The sequence below is a fragment of the Homo sapiens genome, chromosome 1, assembly GCF_000001405.40.
Source record: "Homo sapiens chromosome 1, GRCh38.p14 Primary Assembly".
NCBI lineage: Eukaryota > Metazoa > Chordata > Mammalia > Primates > Hominidae > Homo > Homo sapiens.
This window is the reverse complement of record NC_000001.11, coordinates 26,314,299-26,337,975: the sequence shown is the minus strand read 5'-3', so window position 1 is coordinate 26,337,975 and position 23,677 is coordinate 26,314,299. Positions and strand designations below refer to the sequence as shown.

General features: G+C 51.2%; 3 protein-coding genes and 1 pseudogene across 7 annotated transcripts in view, besides 10 other annotated features; 2 read left to right on the top strand and 2 right to left on the bottom strand.

The window, feature by feature from the left end:
- Positions 1-16,111, top strand: part of CRYBG2 (crystallin beta-gamma domain containing 2) — a 32,266-nt gene extending 16,155 nt beyond the window's left edge. For 4 of the 5 annotated variants that reach the window (XM_011541672.2, XM_005245918.3, NM_001039775.4 and 1 more), the window contains 12 exons: positions 302-438; positions 597-723; positions 996-1,135; positions 1,244-1,370; positions 1,606-1,638; positions 1,769-1,881; positions 6,358-6,487; positions 9,103-9,242; positions 9,644-9,767; positions 13,666-13,824; positions 15,653-15,812; positions 15,920-16,111. In XM_011541672.2, coding sequence (XP_011539974.1) covers positions 302-438; positions 597-723; positions 996-1,135; positions 1,244-1,370; positions 1,606-1,638; positions 1,769-1,881; positions 6,358-6,487; positions 9,103-9,242; positions 9,644-9,767; positions 13,666-13,824; positions 15,653-15,812; positions 15,920-16,008 — 1,479 coding nt within the window. In that variant the 3' untranslated portion in view covers positions 16,009-16,111. Of the gene's footprint in view, positions 1-301; positions 439-596; positions 724-995; positions 1,136-1,243; positions 1,371-1,605; positions 1,639-1,768; positions 1,882-6,357; positions 6,488-9,102; positions 9,243-9,643; positions 9,768-12,858; positions 13,187-13,665; positions 13,825-15,652; positions 15,813-15,919 lie in introns of those variants that run through there. The other variant, XM_047423686.1, reaches the window with a different exon arrangement.
- Positions 1,009-1,068: an enhancer, noted in NCBI's record as "active region_498". NCBI's record gives its function as "activates an Ori minimal core promoter by ATAC-STARR-seq in GM12878 lymphoblastoid cells {active_cell/tissue: GM12878}" and the evidence as "EXISTENCE:reporter gene assay evidence [ECO:0000049][PMID:35858748]".
- Positions 1,209-1,588: a silencer, noted in NCBI's record as "silent region_476". NCBI's record gives its function as "represses an Ori minimal core promoter by ATAC-STARR-seq in GM12878 lymphoblastoid cells {active_cell/tissue: GM12878}" and the evidence as "EXISTENCE:reporter gene assay evidence [ECO:0000049][PMID:35858748]".
- Positions 8,707-9,214: an enhancer, noted in NCBI's record as "H3K4me1 hESC enhancer chr1:26655253-26655760 (GRCh37/hg19 assembly coordinates)". NCBI's record gives its function as "activates a minimal SCP1, AML or CMV promoter by ChIP-STARR-seq in primed H9 embryonic stem cells {active_cell/tissue: H9 hESC(primed)}" and the evidence as "EXISTENCE:reporter gene assay evidence [ECO:0000049][PMID:30033119]".
- Positions 10,934-11,335, bottom strand: RPL34P4 (ribosomal protein L34 pseudogene 4; annotated as a pseudogene).
- Positions 15,731-16,232: an enhancer, noted in NCBI's record as "H3K4me1 hESC enhancer chr1:26648235-26648736 (GRCh37/hg19 assembly coordinates)". NCBI's record gives its function as "activates a minimal SCP1, AML or CMV promoter by ChIP-STARR-seq in naive H9 embryonic stem cells {active_cell/tissue: H9 hESC(naive)}" and the evidence as "EXISTENCE:reporter gene assay evidence [ECO:0000049][PMID:30033119]".
- Positions 16,370-16,419: an enhancer, noted in NCBI's record as "active region_497". NCBI's record gives its function as "activates an Ori minimal core promoter by ATAC-STARR-seq in GM12878 lymphoblastoid cells {active_cell/tissue: GM12878}" and the evidence as "EXISTENCE:reporter gene assay evidence [ECO:0000049][PMID:35858748]".
- Positions 17,453-20,018, bottom strand: CD52 (CD52 molecule). The gene is made up of 2 exons (NM_001803.3): positions 19,905-20,018; positions 17,453-17,805 (listed from the first exon to the last, which is right to left on the bottom strand). Exons 1-2 carry the CDS (start codon positions 19,956-19,958, stop codon positions 17,674-17,676), a joined length of 186 nt encoding a protein of 61 aa, NP_001794.2. The 5' UTR covers positions 19,959-20,018; the 3' UTR covers positions 17,453-17,673.
- Positions 18,253-19,238: an enhancer, noted in NCBI's record as "H3K4me1 hESC enhancer chr1:26645229-26646214 (GRCh37/hg19 assembly coordinates)". NCBI's record gives its function as "activates a minimal SCP1, AML or CMV promoter by ChIP-STARR-seq in naive H9 embryonic stem cells {active_cell/tissue: H9 hESC(naive)}" and the evidence as "EXISTENCE:reporter gene assay evidence [ECO:0000049][PMID:30033119]".
- Positions 19,012-19,111: an enhancer, noted in NCBI's record as "active region_496". NCBI's record gives its function as "activates an Ori minimal core promoter by ATAC-STARR-seq in GM12878 lymphoblastoid cells {active_cell/tissue: GM12878}" and the evidence as "EXISTENCE:reporter gene assay evidence [ECO:0000049][PMID:35858748]".
- Positions 19,612-19,761: an enhancer, noted in NCBI's record as "active region_495". NCBI's record gives its function as "activates an Ori minimal core promoter by ATAC-STARR-seq in GM12878 lymphoblastoid cells {active_cell/tissue: GM12878}" and the evidence as "EXISTENCE:reporter gene assay evidence [ECO:0000049][PMID:35858748]".
- UBXN11 (UBX domain protein 11) overlaps positions 19,621-23,677 on the top strand; it is a 36,074-nt gene continuing 32,017 nt past the window's right edge. The window contains exon 1 of the mRNA NM_145345.3: positions 19,621-19,929. The gene's annotated coding sequence lies outside the window, so the exon portion shown is untranslated. The remainder of the gene's footprint in view (positions 19,930-23,677) is intronic.
- Positions 19,892-19,961: an enhancer, noted in NCBI's record as "active region_494". NCBI's record gives its function as "activates an Ori minimal core promoter by ATAC-STARR-seq in GM12878 lymphoblastoid cells {active_cell/tissue: GM12878}" and the evidence as "EXISTENCE:reporter gene assay evidence [ECO:0000049][PMID:35858748]".
- Positions 20,036-20,228: a silencer, noted in NCBI's record as "fragment chr1:26644239-26644431 (GRCh37/hg19 assembly coordinates)". NCBI's record gives its function as "represses an EF-1alpha promoter that drives an FKBP-Casp9 reporter gene in an ReSE screen in HepG2 liver carcinoma cells {active_cell/tissue: HepG2}" and the evidence as "EXISTENCE:reporter gene assay evidence [ECO:0000049][PMID:32094911]".

The window sequence follows — 23,677 nt, the reverse complement described above, 5'->3', positions numbered from 1 at the left end:
GGTGGCGGGGTGCAGGTGTTTGGTTATCGTGGTCTGGACAGGAAATCCAGAGAGGAGGGCACTGGGGGCCAGAAGCACGGTCTGGGGGGATGGGACCTGATGGGCTCACTGGGAACTGGCTTTTGATGTGTAAGAAGGTCAGAGGTCAGAGTAGAGATAGGAATTGGGTAAGGGGATGGAGTTCAGCAAGGAGGTGGGAGGGCTGGGGGGTGCCACATTGGCCTGATGCTGGGCAGAGCCATTCCTGAGCTGGCTGGGTGTGTTTGGGTCCAGATGACTCCTGACAGCCCCTTTCCCCCAGGCTGTGGTGTATGAGGCCCCAGGCTTTCAGGGCCGCAGCTGGGAAGTGAGCCGAGACATCTACAACCTTCAGCAGCCAGAGGACAGCCAGAGCCCCCACCTGGCCTCTGTGGGGTCCCTGAGAGTTCTCGGAGGCTGGTGAGAACTCAGGACCCTTCCTTCTATTTCATCACCTCTGGCCTTTACCCTTGGGAGTGGGGAGTGACCTGGGCTGCGTAGGGGTGGGGACAGCTGTCTCATTCATCCATGGGCCTCCTATGACTGAACCTGCCTGTCTGTCCTCCTGCTTTTCCCAGCTGGGTGGGCTACGAGAAGGAGGGCTTCCGGGGCCACCAGTATCTGCTGGAGGAGGGGGAATACCCAGACTGGTCACACTGGGGAGGCTATGACGAGTTGCTGACCTCCCTCCGGGTCATCCGGACGGTAAGCAAAGGCAATTGGCCCATCCCTCTGCCTCTGGCCACAGCCAGACCTCCCCCAGTACAGTTTGTGGAGGGAAGAATTTGTACCCCCTCTCCGTGTTCTCCCTGTAAGTGTTCCCAGAGGTCTAGCCTCTCTTCCCCTGCTGCTCTTCTCCAGGTCGTACTGACAGCCTCACCCCTAATTCCCCGGGTGGGCTGTGACCCTGGGGTCTGGGCACTCCCAGGGGTTTCGGTTTGTGGGCGGGAGAGACCTGACTGTCCCTGGGGACCCAGGACTTCGGGGACCCGGCCGTCGTGCTATTTGAGGCCATGGACTTCGAGGGGCACGGCGTGGAGGTGAGCAAGGCATTGCCGGATGTGGAGCTGGTGCAACACGGCCCCAGCACACAGGCCATCCACGTGCTCAGCGGCGTGTAAGTGACCCGGGCTCCGGGAGCGGGGCGGGCCCGGGCGAGCCGGGGGCGGTTCCAGGAGAGGTGCAGGCTCCGTCCCAGCTGACTCGCGCCCCGCCCTTCCTGCAGGTGGGTGGCCTACCAGGAGGTGGGCTTCTCCGGGGAACAGTACGTGCTGGAGAAGGGCGTGTATCGTAACTGCGAGGACTGGGGCGCTGGCAACAGCACCCTCGCCTCGCTGCAGCCGGTCCTACAGGTGCGTGCCGGCCGCGGGGGGCGGGGCCTCCCCGGTGGCGGGACCTGGAGTTCGGGTGCGCCCCGCCCCCACGCAGAGGTAGCGGGCTGGAGGACCTGCCTGGGCGCTTGGGGCGGGGCCTTAGAAGGGGGCGGGGCCGAGGGCGCGGCCGCGGGGTGGACGGTACTGAAACCTAGAGAAGACAAGGCTAGGGGCCGGCACCCTCCCTAATTCTCGATTCGGTCCCTACCTTCAGGTCGGGGAGCACGATCTGCACTTCGTCTCAAAGGTAAGGCAGGGACTCCGCAGGGAGCCGCTGGGCTCACGTCTCTCCCCTCATTTCGGACCTTTCCCCTCCCCGCTGTTCTCGGCCCCACTCCATCGTCCTCCTTCCCCTCATCTCCCCTCTCTGCCTCCAGATTCAGCTTTTCTCCCGCCCCGACTTTCTGGGCGACCACTTCTCTTTCGAAGATGACCAGGCCGCTCTGCCCGCCTCCTTCCGACCTCAGTCCTGCCGGGTCCACGGCGGCAGGTGAGAACGTGGAGGGGCGGAGGGCTGGGGGCGCTGGGGCAGAGGCGGGGCTGCAGGAGGAGAGTCTTTCAAATGATTTCCTTCCTTTGGCTACCTTGCGATGAACTGTTCTGTCTTGCGCAATTTTAAAACAAAATAAGGTTTTAATGGAAAATGTAAAACTGTAGATTGTATAATATAAAGATAAATCTTGTTTCCTCTATCCGTGTGCTCTTTTAAATTTTCGGTGGAGTATTTTAAATCCCTGACCCAACGTAAAATTTCATGGGTACACACTTCAACGTGTGTCTCTAATATGAAAGAACATTTTCCCCACGTAGCTACAAGTCATTATCACATCTAATAAAATTAATAACAATTTATTCATATTACCCAATACCCAGTCCGTGTTCAGATTTCTCCCATTGTCTCAAAAATGCCTTTGTGAAATTAACTTGTTTTTCTCAGCATCCAAATAAGGTCCTTGGGCCAGGTTTCCTCATGTTGGCCAGGCTGATCTCAAACTCCTGGGCTCAAGCTATCCGCCACCTCGGCCTTCCAAAGTGCTGGGATTACAGGCATGAGCCACCGTGCCTGGCCGACCCCAGTAGTTTTTTTTGTATTGTTTTGTTTTGTTTTGAGACAGAGTTTTGCTCTGTTGCCCAGGCTGGAGTGCAGTGGCGCGATCTCAGCTCACCGCAACCTCCGCCTCCCAGGTTCAAGCGATTCTCCTGCCTCAGCCTTCCCAAGTAGCTGGGATTATAGGCATGGGCCACCAAGCCCGGCTAATTTTGTATTTTTAGTAGAGATGGGGTTTCTCCATGTGGATTAGGCTGGTGTTGAATTCCCAACATCAGGTGATCCGCCCACCTCGGCCTCCCAAAGTGCTGGGATTACAGGCGTGAGCCACTGCGCCCGGCGACCCCAGTAGTTTTGATAACTTTCTTGATATAATAAGATGCTCCAGGATCATTTTGTACATTTTTTTTTTTTTTTGCTCCAAATCTAGAATTGGCTATTTGCCAAGGAACCCTGGTTCTTTTTAGTGGCAAATGGTAGAGACCAAAATCTGCATGCTAGGTGTTTCAAAGTTATAATGCCCTTATTACAACTAATAGTAAAAACCACTGAATGCTGTTGGGAGTTTCCTGTTTTTTGTTTGTTTGTTTGTTTGTTTTGTTTGTTTGTTTTTTTGAGATGGAGTCTCGCTCTGTCGCCCAGACTGGAGTGCAGTGGCACTGTCTCAGCTCACTGCAGCCTCTGCCTCCCGGTTCAAGCAATTCTCCTGCTTCAGCCGCCTGAGTAGCTGGGATTACAGGCACCCGCCACCACGCCCAGCTAATTTTTGTATTTTTAGTAGAGATGGGGTTTCATGATGTTGGTCAGGCTGGTCTCAAACTCTTGACCTCATGATCCGCCCCCCTCGGCCTCCCAAAGTGCTGGGATTACAGGCATGAGCCACCGTGCCTGGCTTCTTGTGGTTCTTTTTGTCCTCAAGATATTCACCTATAACCTATTTGTTATATATTCGTTCAAATTACCGTGTCTTAAACACATTTGAAATAATACTTTTGTGTGTGTGGTTATGTCACCAACCTAATATACAATTAGGTTCATTAATTTAATTTATTTTCAGTTTTAAGGAATATTTTTCATTTTTATCTATTTCTGGATTTGTTTTTGTTTTTGTTTGAGACAGGGTCTCACTTTCTTATTCAGGCTGGAGTGCAGTGGTGTGAACACAGCTCAGTGCAGCCTTGACCTCCTGGGCTCAAGGGATTCTCCTACTTCAGCCTCCTGAGACCTGGGACCATAGGTGCACGCCACCGCGCCCGGCTAATTTTTTAACTTTTTTGTAGAGATGGGGGTCTCACTTTGTTACTTAGGCTGGTTTCAAACTTCTGGGCTCAAGCAATCCTCCCTTCTTGGTCTCCCAAAGTGTTGGGATTACAGGTGTGAGCCACTGCACCTGGCCCTAGTTCTGTTTTCCTATGAATAATTACCATGAAGCTGGGCACAGTGGCTCATGCCTGTAATCCCAGCACTTTGGGAGGCTGAGGCAGGAGTCCAGGAGTTCAAGAATCACCTGGGCAACATAAGGAGACCCTGTCTTGACAAAAAAATTTTTAATTAGGTGGATGTGGTGTCATGCACCTATAGTACTACCTACTCAGGAGGCTGAGATGGGAGGATTGTTTGAGCCCAGGAGTTGGAGGCTGCAGTAAACTATGATCACACTACTGCACTCCAGCCTGGGCAACAGAGTGAGATTTTATCTCTAAAATAATAATTATTACATGAAATATTTACATGGTGCCTTAGCTCAGGCTGCTATCACAAAATACCATAGTCTGTGTGGTTTAAATAAGAGAAATTTATTCTCTCACAGTTCTGGAGACTAGGAAATTCAAGATCAAGGTGCTGGCCACTTCACTTCCAGAGTGAGGCCTTTCTTCCTGGCTTGCAGAAGGCCACCTTCTTGCTGTGTTCTCATGTAGTGAAGAGAGAGAATATGAGCTCCTGTCTCTTCCTCTTCTTTTTTTTTTTTTGAGGTGGAGTTTCACTCTTGTTGCCTAGGCTGGAGTGCAATGGCGCAATCTCGGCTCACTGAAACCTCTGCCTCCCGGGTTCAAGCAACTCTCCTGCCTCAGCCTCTTGAGTACCTGGGATTATAGGCATGAACCACCACACCCGGCTAATTTTTGTATTTTTAGCAGAGATGGGGTTTCTTCATGTTGGTCAGGCTGGCCTCGAACTCCCGACCTCAGGTGATCCGCCCACCTCGCCCTCCCAAAGTGTTGGGATTATAGGCGTGAGCCACGGCACCCGGCCTCTTCCTCTTCTTTTAAGGACACTAATCCCATCATGGGGTCTCACCCTCATGACCCCCTCTAAACCGAATTACCTCCTAAAGGCCCCACCTCTGAATAACATTACATTGAGGGTTATGGCTTTAGCATATGATTTTGGGAGGACACAGACATTCAGCCTATAACAGTTCCAAAGCCAACAGCTTTCATCTCTGTCCCTGCCAACTTTTTCCCTCCCTCTCTCCCGCTGTTAGAAATCTTTTTTTTTTTTTTTTTTTTTTTTTTTTTTTTGGGGTTTGGTGTGTTCATCCACTGGCTTTTTTGTTGTTGTTAAGATATAAGCAAATATACACTCATACATTTCCATATAACTATAGAAGCCAAATATTTATATTTTGTTTTCCTTCTCCTCCATTTTATTACATAAAAGGGAACATACTATAACTGGGTTAATATAATAAAAAAAACACTAAATTGTACACCTTAAAAGTGTGAATTTTGGCCAGGTGCAGTGGCTCATGCCTGTAATCCCAGCACTCTGGGAGGCCGAGGTGGGTGGATCACTTGAGGTTAGGAGCTTGAGACCAGCCTGGCCAACACGGTGAAACCCCATCTCTACTAAAAATACAAAATTAGCTGGGTGTGGTGGCGCATGCCTGTAGTCCCAGCTACTCAGGAGGCTGATGCAGGAGAATTGCTTAAACCCAGGAGGCGGAGGTTACAGTGAGCTGAGATCGCGCCATTGCACTCCAGCCTGGGCAACAATAGGGAAACTCCATCTCAACAACAACAACAACAATAACAACAACAAAAAGTGTGAATTTTATGGCATGTGAATTATATCTCAGTTTTTTAAAGGAAGTTTGCTATAAGCACTGTTATGCACCTGCTTTTTTCATCTGTTTGGAGATCACTTTATATCCCTTTAAGAGCTCTTTTTCATTCCACTTAACTGCTGCATTATACTCCACTTTTTCTTTCTTTTTTTTTTTTTTTTTTGACACGGAGTCTCGCTCTGTTGCCCAGGCTGGAGTGTAGTGGCGTGATCTCAGCTCACTGTAAGCTCCGCCTCCTGGGTTCATGCCATTCTCCTGCCTCAGCCTCCTGAGTAGCTGGGACTACAGGTGCCCGCCACCACGCCTGGCTAATCTTTTGTATTTTTAATAGAGACGGGGTTTCACTGTGTTAGCCAGGATGGTCTCGATCTCCTGACCTCGTGATCTGCCCGCCTCAGCCTCCCAAAGTGCTGGGATTACAGGCGTGAGCCACCGCGCCCAGCCCACTTTTTCTTAATTTATTCAGCTCCAATCCCCTATTGATGGACATCTGGGCTGCTTCCCCCCTTTTCTATTGCAGAAGTGCCATAATGAATAGCCCCCTGCATGTGTTATTTCATGTTTTCAAATGGTGTCCTTGGGATGGATTCCTAGGTATGAGATTGCTGAGTAATTACTCATGGAGTTTTGCCTAATATTGCCAAATTCCCCTCCATAGGGGCAGTATGATTTCATTCAGTCTTTTCTTAGGTCTGACCTCATTCCCTGCTGCTGTAGTGCCTGTTCATCCCACCTCCCCTGGGACAGGGGATCATGATCAAGTCTGCATTCCCTCTTCTGTATCTCAGGGGAACCTGGGCAGGCCAAGGACAGGTAGGCTCAGATACCCTCCATTTCTTCCCCTTCCCTAGCTGGATCCTGTTTGATGAGACGAACTTCGAGGGTGACCAGCACATTCTCTCTGAGGGCGAGTTCCCCACTCTCACGGCCATGGGCTGCCTCGCCTCCACAGTCCTGGGCTCTCTCCAGAAGGTATCCCTGGTGAGTTTCCATGTCTGGTTCCAGGCAATCCCGGAAGCAGAAGTTGCTGCTGTGGGACTTCTGGACACAGAACCTGTGTGCTGGTGCAGGGGTTGATTCCAGTGTTTTTAGAACTGCCCCAGGTCCCCTTGACTCTGGGGCTGTAAAGCCAGTTTAGTTTGCTAGCTCTTCATTGAGCACCCACTGAGAGAGGACCTGGGGACATGGAAAGAAATCAGACACAGCCCTGCCTGTAAGGAACCCATGATCCCATAGACATAAAGATTACATGCAGAGTGGTGCATCCAGATACAGGAGTGGTGCGGGGATGGTGGGACTAACACTCAGGGCTTGGGTGGGGCAGGGGCCAGTGCTGCCAAGGTGATGTTCCATGCAGGGAGGAGTGACAGGACCAGCTAGAAAGATGGCCCTGCCAGCCACAGACCAGTGAGAAGGGGCAAGGCAGTGGGGTTGCTGCTACAATGACCCAGAATGAATTGTGATGTCCTCCACCTAGGAAGAGATGGATGGAAGTGACGGGGCCACAATAAGGGGCTAGCATCTGTAGGACTTGGTGACTGTGTGGCCAGTGGGGGCAGTACCCAGTCAGAACAGGTGATGCTTACTGAGTGCATAGTATGTGCCAGGTGGTGTTTAAAAGGCTTTCCACCAGCCAGGTGTGGTGGCTCATGCCTGTAATCCCAGCACTTTGAGAGGCCGAGGTGGGTGGATCACCTGAGGTGAGGAGTTCGAGACCAGCTTGGCCAACATGGTGAAACCCTATCTCTACTAAAAATACAAAAATTAGCCAGGTGTGGTGGTGCACGTCTGTAATCCCAGCTGCTTGGGAAGCTGAGACAGGAGATTTGCTTGAACCCAGGAGGCAGAGGTTGCAGTTAGCCCTGATAACGCCACCGTACTCCAGCCTGGGTGACAGAACAAGACTCCATCTCAAAAAAAAAAAAAAAAAAGGCTTGCCACATATACTAAAGCCTTTTAATCTTCTCCACAATGCTAAGAGGTGTGTTACCATTATTATCTCCCTTTTCCAGATGTGGAAACTAAGCCACAGGCTCCAGGTCACATAGTTGGTAACAGGCAAAGCCAGGCTCTCCCCCAGGCAGCTGGTTCTGGGGTCCAAGTCCCTTGCAATGACACGCTGGGCTCTGACGACAAATAAACCTGGTTCTGAAGCCCAGCTTTAGGGCCCTGAGCAAGCGATTTACCCTCTCCAGCCTGTTTCCTCCCTATTAAGTGGGGGATAATAATAGCTTCTACCTTATAGGGTTGTTGAAGAGTTATAATGAGATCAGGTAAAGCACTTAGCATAACATGGCCTGTAGTAAACCCTGATGAATGTGAGCTGCTATTATTATCAGTATTATTATTGTTGTTATTGTTATCATGAAGATGAAAAGGAGAAATCTAGAATGAAGCCAAGTGCAGTGGCTTGTACCTATAATTCTAGCACTTTGGGCCGGGCGTGTTGGCTCACGCCTGTAGTTCCAGCACTTTGGGAAGCCAAGGCGGGCAGATCATGAGGTCAGGAGTTTGAGACTAGCCTGGCCAACATGATGAAACCCCGTCTCTACAAAAATTAGCCGGGCATGATGGCACATGCCTGTAATCCCAGCTACTTGGGAGGCTGAAGCAGGAGAATTGCTTGAACTTAAAAAGTGGAGGTTACAGTGAGCTGAGATTGCGCCACTGCACTCCAGCCTGGGTGACAGAGTGAGACTCCATCTCAAAAAAATAAAGTAAATAAATTATAGCACTTCAGCAGGCTAAGGCAGGAGGATCACTTGAGCCTAGGAGTTTGAGACCTGCCTGGGCAACATGGTGAGACCCTGTCTCTACAAAAAATTAGCTGGGCATGGTAGCATGTGCCTGTAGTCTCAGCTACTCAGGAGGCTGAGGTGGGAGGATTGCTTTAGCCCAGGAAGTTGAGGCTACAGTGAGCCGTGATTGCACCACTGCACTCCAGCCTGGGCAACAGAGCGAGACCCTATCTCAAAAAAAAAAAAAAAAAATCTAAGCTGCGCATGGTGGCTCACCCCTGTAATCCCAGCACTTTGGCAGGCCAAGGAGGCAGATCGCCTGAGGTCAGGAGTTTGAGACCAGCCAGACTAACATGGCGAAAGCCTGTCTCTACTAAAAGTACAAAAATTAGCCGGGGATGGTGGTGCGTGCCTGTAATCCCAGCTACTCAGGAGGCTGAGGCAGAAGAATTGTTTGAACCCGGGAGGCAGAGGTTGCAGTGAGCCAATATCGCGCCACTGTACTGCAGCCTGGGTGACAAGAGTGAGACTCTGTCTCAAAAAAAAAAAAAAAAAAAAGCCTAGAATAAGCCCCAGGTTTCCATCCTGGCTCAGAGTGCCAGGTTAGTTCTGAGAAGTGCTATTTACTGGAGAGGAGGTTTGAGGGGGAAACTGGGGACCCAGCCTAGCGCTTACTGCCTCTGAGAATCAGGAGCACTCGGCTGGCAGCGTCCAAGAATCAGTGGCCCTGCAGAACTGAGCTCAGGAGGGAAGAAGGCCTGACATACAGATCTGGGAGTCAGGGTGTCTGGGATTGTGGGGCTGCGTCTGGGACTTGGGCTCTCAGAGCCTCACCCTCTTCTGTCTCCTGGGCCCCAGCACTTTTCAGAGCCTTCCATTTTCCTGTATGGACTCGAGTGCTTCGAGGGGAAGGAGATCGAGCTCAGCAGGGAGGTGCGGAGCCTGCAAGCCGAGGGCTTCAACAACCATGTGCTGTCTGTGCGGATCAAGGGGGGCATGTGAGTGCTGAGGGGAGGCATGGGTGCGGTGGCTGCTGGTGGGGATGAGTCATGGCAAGACAGAGATCCTGGGGGTCTCTGGCCTCTTTCCCCTCCCCACTTTTCCCCCACTCCCCTCCAAGCCAGGAAGGAGGGAGAAGTGCGGACTGAGAAGGGTCACTGGCTCTCAGGGCTTAGACCCCAGCTTGGTGGGCTTCTCAGGATCCTTCTTTACCCTGAAAACCCCAAATCTACTTCCCAGCCTCCCTCTCCGCCCTGGGAACCCTATTCCAGGCAGAGGAATCCCTCCATGGGAGAAGAGGAGGTGGAGAACGTTTTGACGTCTGTGTCTCCTCCTCCACCTGTCTGTCTGTCTGTGTGTCTGTGCTCTTCTCTGTGTCCCTGACACCTGCTGGGCCCAGTTGGGTGCTATGTGAACACAGTGACTTCCGGGGCCGCCAGTGGCTGGTGGGAAGCTGCGAGATCACCAACTGGCTGACCTACAGCGGCACCCAGAGGGTGGGCTCCCTCTACCCCATCAAGCAGGTGGGTAGCGTGGCTGGAGCTGAGCGTGTCTGGGGCTGAGCGTGTCTGGGCAGGCCTTTCTGGATGAGTGTCTAGCTGTGTGTTTCCCAAACACAGCATTTGTGTACTTTTGTCACAACTTTTGCCACATCGTCATTCCTCTTGAGCCATTGTCTACTTAATATTTTTCTCTAGATTAACTCTCTTTTTAAAAGTCTTTTAATTAATTTTTATTTCTTAAAAAAAGCTTTTTTTTCTCTTTCTTTTTCTTTTTTTTTTTTGTGTGACAGAGTCTTGCTCTGCCACAAAGGCTGGAGCGCAGTGGCAACATCCTGGCTCACTGCAGCCTCCACCTCCCGGGTTTAAGTGCTTCTTGTGCCTCAGCCTCCCAAGTAACTGGGACCACAGGCACGTGCTACCACGCTCAGCTAATTTTTGTATTTTTAGTAGAGGCAGGGTTTCACCATGTTGGCCAGACTGGTCTCCAATTCCTGACCTCAAGTGATCCACCTGCCTCGGCCTCCCAAAGTGCTGGGATTACAGACGTGAGCCACCATGCCCAGCCCTTTTTTTTTTTTTTGAGATGGAGTTTTGGTCTTGTTGCCCAGGTTGGAGTGCAATGGCACGATCTCGGCTCACTGCAACCTCCGCTTCCCAGATTCAAGTGATTCTCCTACCTCATCCTCCGAAGTAGCTGGGATTACAAGTATGTGCCACCACATCTGGCTAATTTTTGGTTTTTTTTTTTGTTTTTTGTTTTTTGAGACGGAATCTCGCACTGTCACCTGGGCTGAAGTGCAATGGCGTGATCTCGGCTCACTGCAACCTCTGCCCCCTGGGTTCAAGCAATTCTCCTGCGTCAGACTCCCAAGTAGCTGGGATTACAGGTGCCTGCCACCACACCCGGCTAATTTTTTGTATTTTTAGTAGAGACGAGGTTTCACTGTAATTGGCCAGGTTGGTCTCGAACGCCTGACTTGTGATCTGCCCACTTCGGCCTCCCAGAGTGCTGGGATTACAGGCATGAGCCACTGCGCCTAGCTAATTTTTGTATTTTTAGTAGAGATGGGGTTTCATCATGTTGGCCAGGCTGGTCTTGAACTCCTGACCTCATGTGATCTGCCCACCTTGGCCTCCCAAAGTGTTGGGATTACAGGCATGAACCACTGTGCCCAGCCCCAGCCCAGTTTTTATTTAGCTTTCTGAGTCTGTGCTTGTGCCTTCAACACTTTCATAAGGATTTTTAGCTGCTGCATAAGGAAAGCAGGCTTGATCCTGCCACGAACACATTTAGCATACCTGGAACCACCATAGGCCCTCCTGACATGTTTTTTGTTTTGGACAATCTCATAAGAACTTTAGACCTCACAACATGAACCCCTTGAAGTCTGCCTGGGCACACGCCACATGCAGATTTTGGTGCTTTCCCAACTTTGTAGGTATAGAGGTCAACAATTCTATTACGAGGGGCTCAGGACAGCCTAGTTTTGTTAGAGGCTGTACCGTAGGAAAGCCTATGACAATATGTCAAATGCTGGAACATTCTCAGTGCCTCTAGACAATATCCCCAGAAGAGGAAAAAGAAAAAAATCACATTTTTTTTAACTTTATCCTTGTCCTAAGGAATAATATCCATAAAGTCATGAGTTTGATGTGTACATATGATTTTCTTTCTTTTTTTTTTTTTTTGAGACAGAGTCTTCTTGCTCTGTCGCCCAGGCAGGAGTGCAGTGGCATGATCTCGGCTCACTGCAAGCTCTGCCTCCCGGGTTCATGCCATTCTCCTGCCTCAGCCTCCTGAGTAGCTGGGACTACAGGCACCCGCCACCATGCCCGGCTAATTTTTTTGTATTTTTAGTAGAGATGGGGTTTCACCATGTTAGCCAGGATGGTCTCGATCTCCTGACCTCATGATCCGCCCGTCTCAGCCTCCCAAAGTGCTGGGTTTACAGGTGTGAGCTACCATGCCCAGCCTGATTTTTTTTCTTAATAGATGTAATAAATACATTGCCATTAATTTTTCAAAAATGAGTTTATAGGCTGGGTGCGGTGGCTCACTCCTGTAATTTCATCACTTTGGGAGGCCGAGGAGGGAGGGTTGCTTGAGCCCAGGAGTTCGAGACCAGCCTGGGCAACATGGCGAGACCCCATCTCTACAAAAAATACAAAAGAAATGAGCTAGGTGTGATGGCTTGTGCTATAGTCCCAGCTACTCGGGAGGATCACCTGAGCCCAGGAGTTTGAGGCTACAGTGAGCCATGATGGCTCCACTGGTACTCCAGCGTGGGTGACAGAGCGAGACCCTGTCTCAAAAAAAAAATAGTTTAGCCACATAGGACTGAAAGTGATCTCATGGACCACCCACTGGTAGTAAGCATACCTCACTTGGGGAAGCACTGCCTGCATATGTGTTTCTGTATGTCCGTGCCTGCATGTCTGAACATCAGTATCATTAATGCACATGTGCAGATAAATGGTAAGGCCATGGGCTCTGTGTGTATGTGTGTGTGCATGCATGTTCCCATCTGAGGGTATTTCTGTGCTCATCAGGTTATTTGTGTCCATGCATCTGTGTGCTCTGGTGATGACCTGTGTGTGTGTGTGTGTGTGTGTGTGTGTATCTGTGGGAGTGCATTCATTTTTTTAATTTTTATTAATTAATTTATTTTTGAGATGGAGTCCTACTCTGTCACCCAGGCTGGAGTGCAGTGGTGTGATCTCGGCTCACTGCAACCTACATCTCCCGGGTTCAAGCGATTCTCCTGCCTCAGCCTCCCGAGTAGCTGTGATTACAGGCGTGTGCCACCACACCTGGCTAATTTTTTTGTATTTTTGGTACAGACAGGGTTTTGCCATGTTGGCCAGGCTGACCTCGAACTCCTGACCTCAGGTGATCCACCCGCCTTGGCCTCCCAAAGTGCTGGGATTACAGGCGTGAGCCTCCGCGCCCGGCCGGGATTGCATTTATGACTGCGCATGCTTGTACTTGTGACACCATTGACAGTGTGTGTATCTTTGTATAAGGATATTTGTGTAGTTCTTGTATTCAAGACTCATAACATCATTGCTGGGAGAAATCTTGGAGATTATCTCCACCCCTCACATTTTACAGATGGGGAAATAAAGGCCCAGAGAAGTGGACACGGATTTGCTCTGCAATCTTGGGCAAGTACTGTACCTCCTTAGACCTTCGTTTCCTCATCTTTAAAATGAGGATAACACGTGTCATGGGTCAGTTTTGAGGACTGAAGATAATGTAGGTAAAACATTATTAGAACAGTGCTTGAGTGAGTCAGCTCTCAACAAACGTTAGCTGTGATTATTGTTATTACTATTATTACTTTTGCTACCATCTAAGAGCTCCAGCTGATTTATGGCAGAGCCATGTCTGATGTCTGACAGTCCAGTGTCCATCCCGTCAGGAACCCTCTTCAACACAGGTGTGTGTGCATTTCTTTCTGTAAGTGTGTGTGCACATCTGTATGCCCACACACATCCACGCTTTTAGCAAGCAGAACTGCCTGGTATGGAGTAGACTGCATGGATCTATGGTTAGAACATGTGAGTTGGATGGCTGCATGTATCCATGTGTTTGTGTCTTCTGTGAACTTCTGTGCCATCATGTGTACCAGAGGTGTATCTGTCAGTTTGTCCCTCTGCACACATCTGTGGGTACCTCTATGACCATGGAACTGTGTGTGTGTGTGTGTGTGTGTGTGTGTGTGAGAGAGAGAGAGATACATGTGCTCTCCGTATGTGTGTGTAAAGAAGCAGTGACTTAGAAATAGAGTCAAGGAAGGTTTGGGGACAGGAGGGAGGGCTTGGGAGCCTGATACTGGAGAGTCCAGAGTTGAGGGTACTGGGGGCCCAGGTCATCCCTCCCCGGCACCCCTGACTCTCAGCCTCTTTCTGCCACCAGCGCCGGGTTTATTTCCGCCTCTGGAATGCAGCACTGGGGGGATTCCTGGCAGTGCCGGACCATGTGGAGGACATGAAAGCAGGCCGTGTGGTGGTCGCCGACCCCCAAGCTGGAGGTAGCTGCATCTGGTACTACGAGGATGGGCTGCTGAAGAACCAGGTACTGATACAGGGGCTGGCACAGGGACACCCTGGCCCTAGGCATTTGCAGGTCCACTCTGGGGAGTCCCAGCCCAATCAGGAACACAGAGGGATGCACACAGAAGCCAGGACCCTGGGGAGAGGGAGAGTGCAGACTGTTCCCCCTGGGCAAGTCGTGCTCTTCTCTGGGCCCCAGTCTGTAAAAACAAGAGCAATGAACTGGGTGCTTCTAAGGGACCTCCCAGCTCTAATGCCCATGACAGAACTTGAACCCTATTAATAATGGTAGATTTGGCCAGGCATGGTGGCTCATGCCTATAATCCCAACACTTTGGAAGGCCGAGGCAGGAGGATTGCTTGAGGACAGGAGTTTGAGGCCAAACAAAAAATTAACTGGGTGTGGTGGTGCATGCCTGTAGTCTCAGGTACTCAAGAGGCTGAGGTGGGAGGCTTGAGCCCAGGAGTTAGAGGCTGCAGTGAGTGAGGATTGCGCCACTGCACTCCAGCCTTGGTGACAGCACAAGACCTGGTCTCAAAAAAAAACAAAAATAAAAATAAGAGAAAAGGTAGATTTACTCCACAGACATTTCTTGAGCACCTACTATGTGCCAGGCTCTGTTCTAGATGCTGGGGATACAGCAGTTATAGACAGAATTGACACCTGCCGTCCTGAAGCTTACATCCTAGTGGGGAGAGATAGACAGAAATAACTTAAATGGGCAGAATATCTTAGTGTCTTACAGGATGAAAGTTCAATAGAGGAAGATAAATCATGAAAGGGGAATAGGCCAGGTGCAGTGGCTCACTCCTGTAATCACAGCACTTTGAGAGGCTGAGTGAGGCAGGAGGATCTCTTGAGCTCAGGAATTCAAGACCAGCCTGGGCAGCATAATGAGATGCCATCTCCACAAAAAATAAAAAAACTAGCCGGATGTGGTGGCATGCACCTGTAGTCCCAGCTACTCAGGAGGCCGAGGTGGGAGGATTACGTGAGCCCAGGAGATTGAGGCTGCGGTAAGCTATGATCACACCACTGCACACCAGCCTGGGCAACAGAGGGAGACTCTGTCTCAAAAAAAAAAAAAGGAGAATAGAAAGTATCAGGTATGGTAGGGGAGCCTTTCCGAAGAAGATGACATTTGAGGGAGGCAGCCATGCAGATATCTGAGGGAAGAGTGTTCCAGGCAGAGGGAACAGCCAGTGCAAAGGCCCTGAGGAAGGAACATGCCTGGGATTTTTCTGGGCTAGCAAGGCTAGCTGGGTGGCTAGAGTGAGTTGAGTAAGGGGGAGGTAGCAGGAGATGAGGCCAGAAAGGTTATAAGGACTGTAGGTCTTTGTAGGCCATTGAGAGGTTTTGTCTTTTACTTAGAATGAGAGAGATGGCTGACCACATGCCAGGCTCTGCATTGAGTTCTTCACACAAATGCCTCCTATAATCTTTAGTCTAGAGTACCGTGGGGCAGGTCTTTTTATACTCCCCATTTTACAGGTGAGGAAACCAGAGCATAGAGAGGTTAGGTAATTTGCTGAAAGTCACACAGCTAGTAAATGTGTAGAGATTTGTCTGATGCTAAAGCCTATGCTTTGGAAGCCAATCATGGAAGGATTCCTGGAGGAGTTAATATTTTTCCAGCCCTTTTATGTTTTCTCACACTGAACCCTCACAAAAGCCAGCATTTGGGGATTCCCATCCCCGAGAGGAAACTGAAGCTGAGGAGGATTAAGAGACTTGCCCAGGGCCACAGTCCCTAAGAGCCAGGATTCAGAGCAGATGGGTCAAGGGTTTCTTGGGTACAGTAGAGTCCCTGTGGGGAGGAACAATGCCTGATGACCTCCTGGGGCCTCAGATGGCCCCCACCATGAGCCTACAGGTGATTGGACCCCCTAGCCCAGGCTCCAAGGTGGTGCTGTGGGCCGAGAGCCGCCTGCCGCGCCAGACGTGGAGCATCAGTGAATCGGGCCACATCTGCAGCCAGATGTTCGAAGGCCAGATCCTGGACGTGAAGGGTAAGGTGGGATGTATGGGGAAGAGGGCTCCTGAGGGGGCTGAGAGCCATGGAGTCCCAGCTCTCTCTGACTATCTCCCTATCTTTTAATCCCCATCCCACCCCCAGGAGGCCGGGGCTACGACCGGGACCACGTGGTGCTATGGGAGCCGGATGAGGACAGGGCATCCCAGATCTGGACTATCCACGTGCTTTGAAACTTTTCCCCTCACCCTCCAGCCCTGGAGGCTTTTGCTGGGATGAATGTTTTTATAGGGTTTTTGTTGTAACATAAGCTATTTTCTAATATGCTGCCAGGTACCCTTGTCTCTGTGCACCTTGATATTTCGGGGTGGGGTGGGGATTTGTTCACTTGCCTTCTTCCCTGACGCTCAGGCTGGCTTCTTCCCTCCAGGCCCCAGCTTTCGGGTTCAGATGTTAGGCCTCCTTCTGCCATCAGAGGGCGCCCTGGGACCAGACTAACTGGGGAGTGTAGTCTCGCGCAGCCACCCAAATGAAGTGTTGTGAGAGCAGGCTCTGAGCCGGGTGGGGCCCTAGGCTGTGCGGGCACAGACACAAACTGAGCCTTTCGGTCCCTGTCCTTAGGGAACGCACAGTCCCACAGAGGATCCTGACAGGTAGGGTGATGCATCCATGAGAAGGGAGGAAAGAAGTAGAGGGACTCACACAGCAGGAACATCACCCCCACAAGTGCAGGGCAGGCTGACATGTCTCTCTGCACACGTCAGGGACCTGCAGCTGAGATATTAGGGTGGGGAGTTAGCCAGGCTCCAGGAGGCAGAGAAAGAATATTCTAGGGATGCATACAAGTCCAGGGTGAAAACGTGGAGGTTAGTGTGATGGGGGTGCAGTGGGCCAGGCATGGGAGATGAGTGTGAGCCACACCCTGAAGGGCTGTGCCCCCAGGGCTCTGCTGCACTCACCCCAACTCTGGTCTTAGAGAAGCCAGGACAGGGCATCCAGGTCTCTAACCCAGCTCAGAGAGGGCAGGACATAGAAGAGAGGGAGCTCCCTCTGTCCCTGGAGGTCCTCAAGGAAGAAGCCAAGGTGGGAGGGGCCCTTGGGGGGTGCCCTGGGGCTCCCTTCCATCTCTGCAGCACCCACCTCCGATGCCTCAAGCCCAGGAGGGTGGGAGTGGTCAGAGCAGCTGCTTGCCCTTCCTGCCTTCCCAGCCCCTGGGCCAGCGTGGGAGGTAGACAGCCACCCATCATCCTTCTCCAGCCCCAGATGCCTGTGGGGCTGGTTTGCTGGGGATCTAAATACCTTGTTGAGGGGTGTCCCTGGGACTGGGGATTTCCCTGGATCTGTCATTCTGAAGACACCCAGGTAGTGGGGTAGGGGCTCTCTGAGCCTGGGATGTCCAGGGTGGTGGCATCTCTAGTACCATCATTCCCAAACACCCAGGGATGGATGAAGCAAACGCAACTGCAGGGTTGGTGAGGCTGCCAGGTTCTGGGCCTTGTCCCTGCAATGTGCTTCTAAGGGGAAGGGCCCTCAGCATTGGAATTTAGGTGGGGAAGCTGGGGGCTGCTCCCTGGTGCCAATTTCCCTGCTGATGGGGACATGGGAAACTCCCTGGTGCTGCTGCACAGCTGGCTCTTGGGGCGTAGGGATGTCCAGTAACCACAAGCAGGACCCCACTGCAAGTACAAGGGTAACTTTATTGACCCCCAGCTGGGCACTGCTTGGCCCCTACATCATTACCCCCCTATTTTGGCTGTTGCCCCCATGGCACTGCCTGTCAACTTCTACAACCTGGTGATGTCTGGCATCAACCCCTCCCAAAGATGGAGGGGATTCTCTTGCGAGTGATGGTGGCAGCTGTTTCAGGGGGCACAGGGCTAAGGCTGAGACGTGTCACCTCAACTGAAGCAGAAGAGGTGGATTATGGCATTGGCCACGAAGAAAAGGAAAATGCCTCCGCTTATGTTGCTGGATGCTGAGGGGCTGCTGGTTTGGCTGGTGTCGTTTTGTCCTGAGAGTCCAGTTTGTATCTGTAGGAGGAGAAGTGGGATAAGATCAGGGGACTTTTTTTTTTTTTTTTAGAGGTGGAGTCTCACTCTGTCACCCAGGCTGGACTGCAGTGATGCGATCTCGGCTCACTGCATCCTCCACCTCCCGGGTTCAAGTGATTCTCCTGCCTCAGCCTCCTGAGTAGCTGGGACTATAGGCACGTGCCACCACGCCCGGCTAATTTTTCTATTTTTAGTAGAGACGGGGTTTCACCATGTTGGTCAGGCTGGTCTCGAACTCCTGACCTGGTGATCCACCCGCCTCGGCCTCCCAAAGTACTGGGATTACAGGTGTGAGCCATCGTACCCAGCCCTCAGGGGACTTTTGAATAGCGTGTTTGTTATTTAAAGATGCAGTCCCCTTTCTACCCTCCCCGCCCTCCATCCGCCCACCTCCATAAAACAGTCCTCAGTTCTGCCCCATGTGACCACTACTTCTTCCACAAGGTCCTGTCAGGATGTTTGACTGCTTCCTGCTTTGACACAGGCAGGGACAGAGGTGATCACTGCCCCTGTCCACCCCCTTTCACAGAAACTTTCTGTTTTTTTGAGATAGAGTTTCGCTCTTTTGCCCAGGCTGGAGTGAAGTGGCATGATCTCGGGTCACTGCAACCTCCACCCCTCAACCTCCCGAGTAGCTGGGATTATAGGCAGCCGCTATCACGCCCAGCTAATTTTTTTTTTTTTTCCGAGACAGAGTCTTGCTCTGTCGCCCGCCCAGGCTGGAGTGCAGTGGCGTGATCTCGGCTCACTGCAAGCTTCACCCCCAGGTTCACGCCATTCTCCTGCCTCAGCCTCCCGAGTAGCTGGGACTACAGGCGCCCGCCACCACGCCACGCCCGGCTAATTTCTTTTTGTATTTATGGTAGAGACGAGGTTTCAATGTGTTAGCCAGGATGGTCTCGATCTCCTGACCTCATGATCCACCCGCCTCAGCCTCCCAAAGTGCTGGGATTACAGACGCGAGCCAGCGCGCCCGGCTCGCCCAGCTAATTTTTGTATTTTTAGTAGAGACGGGATTTTGTCATGTTGGCCAGGCTGGTCTTGAACTCCTGACCTCAGGTGATCCGCCTGCCTCGGCCTCCCAAAGTGCTGGGATTATAGGCGTGAGCCACCGTGCCCGGTCACAGAACCTTTCTTTTCACCTTTCCCCAGCGACCAGCCCTTCTGGCATAGAGGGAGACAGGGGAGCCCTGGCCCTTGACCTTCCTAGCCTGGCAAAGGGCTTAGCTTCCCTGAGCCTCAGTTTCATCTTCTGAGTGGGGAGAAGTTCATCACAGTTGTGAAGGTCACATGAGCCAGGGCTGAGTGAGAAAGCACTTGGCAAAGCGTGGGTGGCTGGATGTGGGGTGGGGAAGTGGCCAGATGGTGATCGAGCTGTCCTTAATGCTTGATGGAGCTGCAACTAGAACTGTTCTTGATGGAGATTAAGCTGGTTTTGATGGTGATCAAGCTGTTCTTGATCAAGAACTTGATGGCTCCGGTCTGCTGTACTGACTCCCCTCTGGGCACCTGGGATGCTACCAAAGCTGCCTCCTGGAATAGCAGTCGCTTTTGAGACTCCAGTTGTTTCTGAAATGGGAGAGTCCTGTCTTCTTTGCATTCCTGAACATCCAGGCTTCTCTCTGGCAGGGGAGTGGGGGTTAGAGTGTCCCCTGTCACCTCCATAACCACAGCAGGCTCCACTTGGACATCTCCTGGCCTCTCCCCAAAGGACCATCTCCCCAGACTCCCTGTGGGCCGATGCCTTCCTCACTCAGGGTTGTCTTCCCAAGTCTCTTAGTTCTCTATTATTCCACAACACCCCTTGGGTGCCCCAACGCGCCTAGCACCCTGTAAGTGCTCCCCAGCTGTGGATACAGGTTTCTCTCAGGGCAGCCCGCAAGCAGTGCAGCCCCAGCCAGAAGAGCTGGAAGGCTGGGCGGCCAGGCCCGCTGTGTCCCCAGTTTTCCTGTTGGAGTCCATCTGCTGTGCTCTCAGGAGAGAAGGCTGGGTCTCTGGGAGCTCACATCCTGTATGCCCTCCCTCCATGCCAAGCAACTTTGGGGAGTCCTGGCAGTGGTGCCAGGCGTTGCTCTTACCTGTACCATAACCAGGAGGCTGATGGTGAGTAGGAGGAAGAGGAAGCGCTTCATTTTGGTAGGATCTTCGTGGCTGTCTTGGTAGCAGCTTTTTAGGTGATCTCAGGGCTGTCTGGAGGCTTCTTTTGGTTTAGCTGCTTTTGAACCAGGAGGCAGAGGAGGCGGGGTGAGGTAGGGAGAGGAAGGAGGGCTTACAAGGTGGAGGAGGGGTGTGGCTTCCTTTCTGCAGATCTGGGGGTGGATAATACCAGGCTCTAGGTTCTAAGGCCCTGGCTGGGGGAGCAGGCTAGATCGTACAAGATAGGAGAGAGGTCAATCCAGAGGCAACGGTGGGAGTAAGTAGGGCCCAAGGCCTGGAATCATGCATCCTGCAGGCTGAATCCTGGTTTAATCACTGACCAGCTCTGAGACCCTGGGCCAGAAACTCTACCTCTCTGACCCTTTAACAAAAGAACTGCCGGATTACATGTAATAATAACCAATTTAAAAAGAGCCAGAACATAGCAGATATTCCGTAAATGAGTTTGTTGTTTAAAGAAGATTGGGGCAGGGTATAGGAGCTGAAGGAGAAGGGCTGGGATAGATTTATGTTTCAAGGGAAGGTTGTAGATGGGCTGCAGGTTCTGAATGAAAGCTTGGGAAATGTTTAGATTGTGGAAGGGTTGGTGGATTTCTGTGAAGGTGCTGGAGGTGAGGAATCGGGAAGCCTGGTTTCAGTTGGGCTTTCCCTCTCTAGGCCTCAGTTCCTCATTTCAAGGAACTGGGAAGACTGAAATAGATTATTTCTGAAGTTTGTTAAAACCTAGTGTTTTGTTTTGTTGTTGTTGGTTTTTTTGTTTTTTTTTTTAAACAGAGTTTTGCTCTGTGCACTGGCATGATCTCGGCTTACTGCAACCTCCACCTCCTGGGTTCAAGCAATTATCCTGCCTTGGCCTCCCGCATAGCTGGGACTACAGGTGTGTGCCACCATGCCTGGCTAATTTTTTGTATTTTTTTTTTTTTTTTAGCGGAGACTGGGTTTCACCATGTTGGCTAGGCTAGTCTCGAATGCCTGATCTCAAGTGATCCGCCTGCCTCGGCCTCCCAAAGTGCTGGGATTACAGGCATGAGCCACCGCGCCCAGCCAAGACCTAGAATTTTGTGATTTTGGTAGAGAAAGTAGCAAGCAGATGGGTTGTTTGTATTAGCTGAGGATGAATGGGAGGGGAGCGAGGGAAGGGACAAGTGGGTGACTAAGCTACAGTGGAAGGGGACTGGGGTGAGAGAGTGGCTGTGAGGGCCCAGGGAGGGGTGGGGGGATGAGAGGAATCCCACAGCTGCCTGGATAGTGCTCCATGCTTTATGCATTCCCTCACTTGATACCCTCTGTGGTGCCCTGCAGCAGGTGTTATGTTTATCCCCATTTGACTGGTGAAAAAACTGAGGCTTAGATGTTAAGTGACTTGCTAAGGTCGTAAATGGTGGAGCCAGTCTCATTTGACCTTGAATCCAGGTCTGTCTGAAGCCACAGCCATGTATGTAACCTCTGGGGCTGCCCTAGAATTCATCCATTAAGTCTTGATTCCCTGCCACTCCCTCCCCCTCCCCTACACAAACTCCCCCCAGGCCCCAGGAGTTGGTCACCACAACCCCAGCTCTGGCCCACTCTCCCTTCACACTCTCCCTTCCTTAGTCTACTTTAGGCCTCATTTACATGCTAGGTAGTAAAGGGAAAACTCCCCTCACTTCTCTTCTATTGTTTTGGGCCTTGTGTTGCAAGCCCAGGGGAGATCTGGCTGAGGCTGAGTCCAAAGAAAAAAACAGAGGCTGGGCATAGGGGCTACGCCTGTAATCCTAGCAGTTTGGGAGGCTGAGGCGGGCAGATAACTTGAGCACAGGAGTTTGAGACCACCCGGGCAACATAGGAAGGCCCCATCTCTCAAAAAAAAAAAAAAAAAAAAAAAAAATTAGCCGGGCATAGTGGCACAAACCTATAGTCTCAGCTACTTGGGGGCTGACGCAGGAGGATTGCTTGCACCTGGGAGGCCCAGGCTGCAATGAGCCATGATTGTGGCACTGCACTCCAGCCAGGGTGACAGAGCAAGACCCTGTCTCAAAAAAAAAAAAAAAAAGGCCAGGAAACAGTGGCTCACGCCTGTAATCCCAGCATTTTGGGAGGCCGAGGTGGGTGGATCACCTGAGGTCAGGAGTTCTAGACCAGCCTGGCCAACATGGTGAAACCCTGTCTCTACTGAAAATACAGAAATTAGCCAGGTGTGCTGGCACATGCCTGTAATCCCAGCTACTCGGGAGGCTGAGGCAGGAGAATCACTTGAACCCGGGAGAAGGAGGTTGCAGTGAGCCGAGATCGTGCCATTGCACTCCAGCCTGAGCGACAAGAGAAAAACTCCATTTCAAAAAAAGAGAAGAGAAGAAAAGAAGAACTGAGAGTCAAAGCTGATGAGAGAAAGCCAGGAAGTGGAGAGGGAGGGGCGGGGAGGGAGAGAAGAGGGAGGAGTCCCCAGCCATCCATCACCCTCTTTCCCCATCCCTGCCCTTTCACCCAGAGGTCTCTCCTCACCCTTGACTCAAGTTCTCAGCTGTCTTTGGTGTGCCTGTGGGGGTGAGTGATTCTGGGGTTCATGAGAGTCAGGGAGGTGTCCTGTGCCAGAAGGGCACCAGCCCAGAAGACAGGATACCCGTGTTGAAGTCTGAGATTACTCTGCTGAAAATGAGCTCCATCACACTGTGCAATCTTCTCCCCTCTTACAAAGAGGCAGCCAGACAGGACGAGCCTGGGGCCAGCCGTGTTATAGTTTCCCATGCTGGAGATGCATGCGAGGATACTAAATGCCAGACTCTTATTTGTAAACATTTTCTTGCAAACCTCAGAAGCTTCATTTTCACCTCCTGACACCCTGAGGAGTATCTTCTACAGTCCATGTATTTCCTCTGCAAGGAAAGCCCTTCTCCAATTATTTTACCTGGCAAACTCTTTTTTTTTCCCCTCGAGTCAGGTTCTTGCCGTTGTCACCCAGGCTGGAGTACAAGTGGTGCAATCATAGCTCACTGTAACCTCGAACTCCTGGGCTCAAGCAATCCTCCCGCCTCATCCTCCTAAGTACCTGGGACTACAGGTGCATGCCACCATGCCCAGCTAATTTTTGGGGTGGTGGAGGGTGGAGTTTTGCTATGTTGCCCAGACTGCAAACTCTTCTTTATTCTTCAAGATTTAGCTTAGAAGCCCCTTCCCCAGGGAAACTTTCCACTTTCCCTAGGAAACTCAAAGTTCCTAAATGTTCGAAGGGCCCTTTCTGTTGACCTCTGTTCTAAAGATTGTGTCTACCAAGAATATGGTCTGTCCCTTGTGGGTTGGGACTAGATTTTGTCACTTCTCTTACTCAGCGAAGCACAGAACATGGCACAGTGTAGGTGTCAGGGACTGCCGGAAGAATGAGTGCGTGTATTCATCTAGATCTATTCCCACCTCCGAGCCTAGTAGTCCTGCATTTATTCATCCAGTAAATATTTACTATGGGGCAACAGTAAAGTCAGTACTGAAAAGTTACCAATGCAGAAAAGAAATAAGGGACTGAGAGAAGCAAGCCCTTTATATGGAGCTGCTTTCCTCCTAAAAGTATGCCACTTGCAGAGGGGACAGCTGAGAAACTGAGCTGAGCTTTCTCATCTTCACATACTTACAAATGTATGGGAGAAAAACTATAGTTCTAGATTCTCTAAGAAAGGGGAGCCCTGACAAACTCCCCCCACCTAGGCTTTGGGTTGGACCACGG

Excerpts from the sequence above, each read along its gene's own strand:
- CD52 (NM_001803.3), bottom strand. The coding sequence starts at position 19,958 with ATGAAGCGCTTCCTCTTCCTCCTACTCACCATCAGCCTCCTGGTTATG. Across the intron at positions 17,806-19,904 it reads GCCTCCTGGTTATGGTACAG|ATACAAACTGGACTCTCAGG; the intron begins GTAAGAGCAACG and ends CTCCTCCTACAG.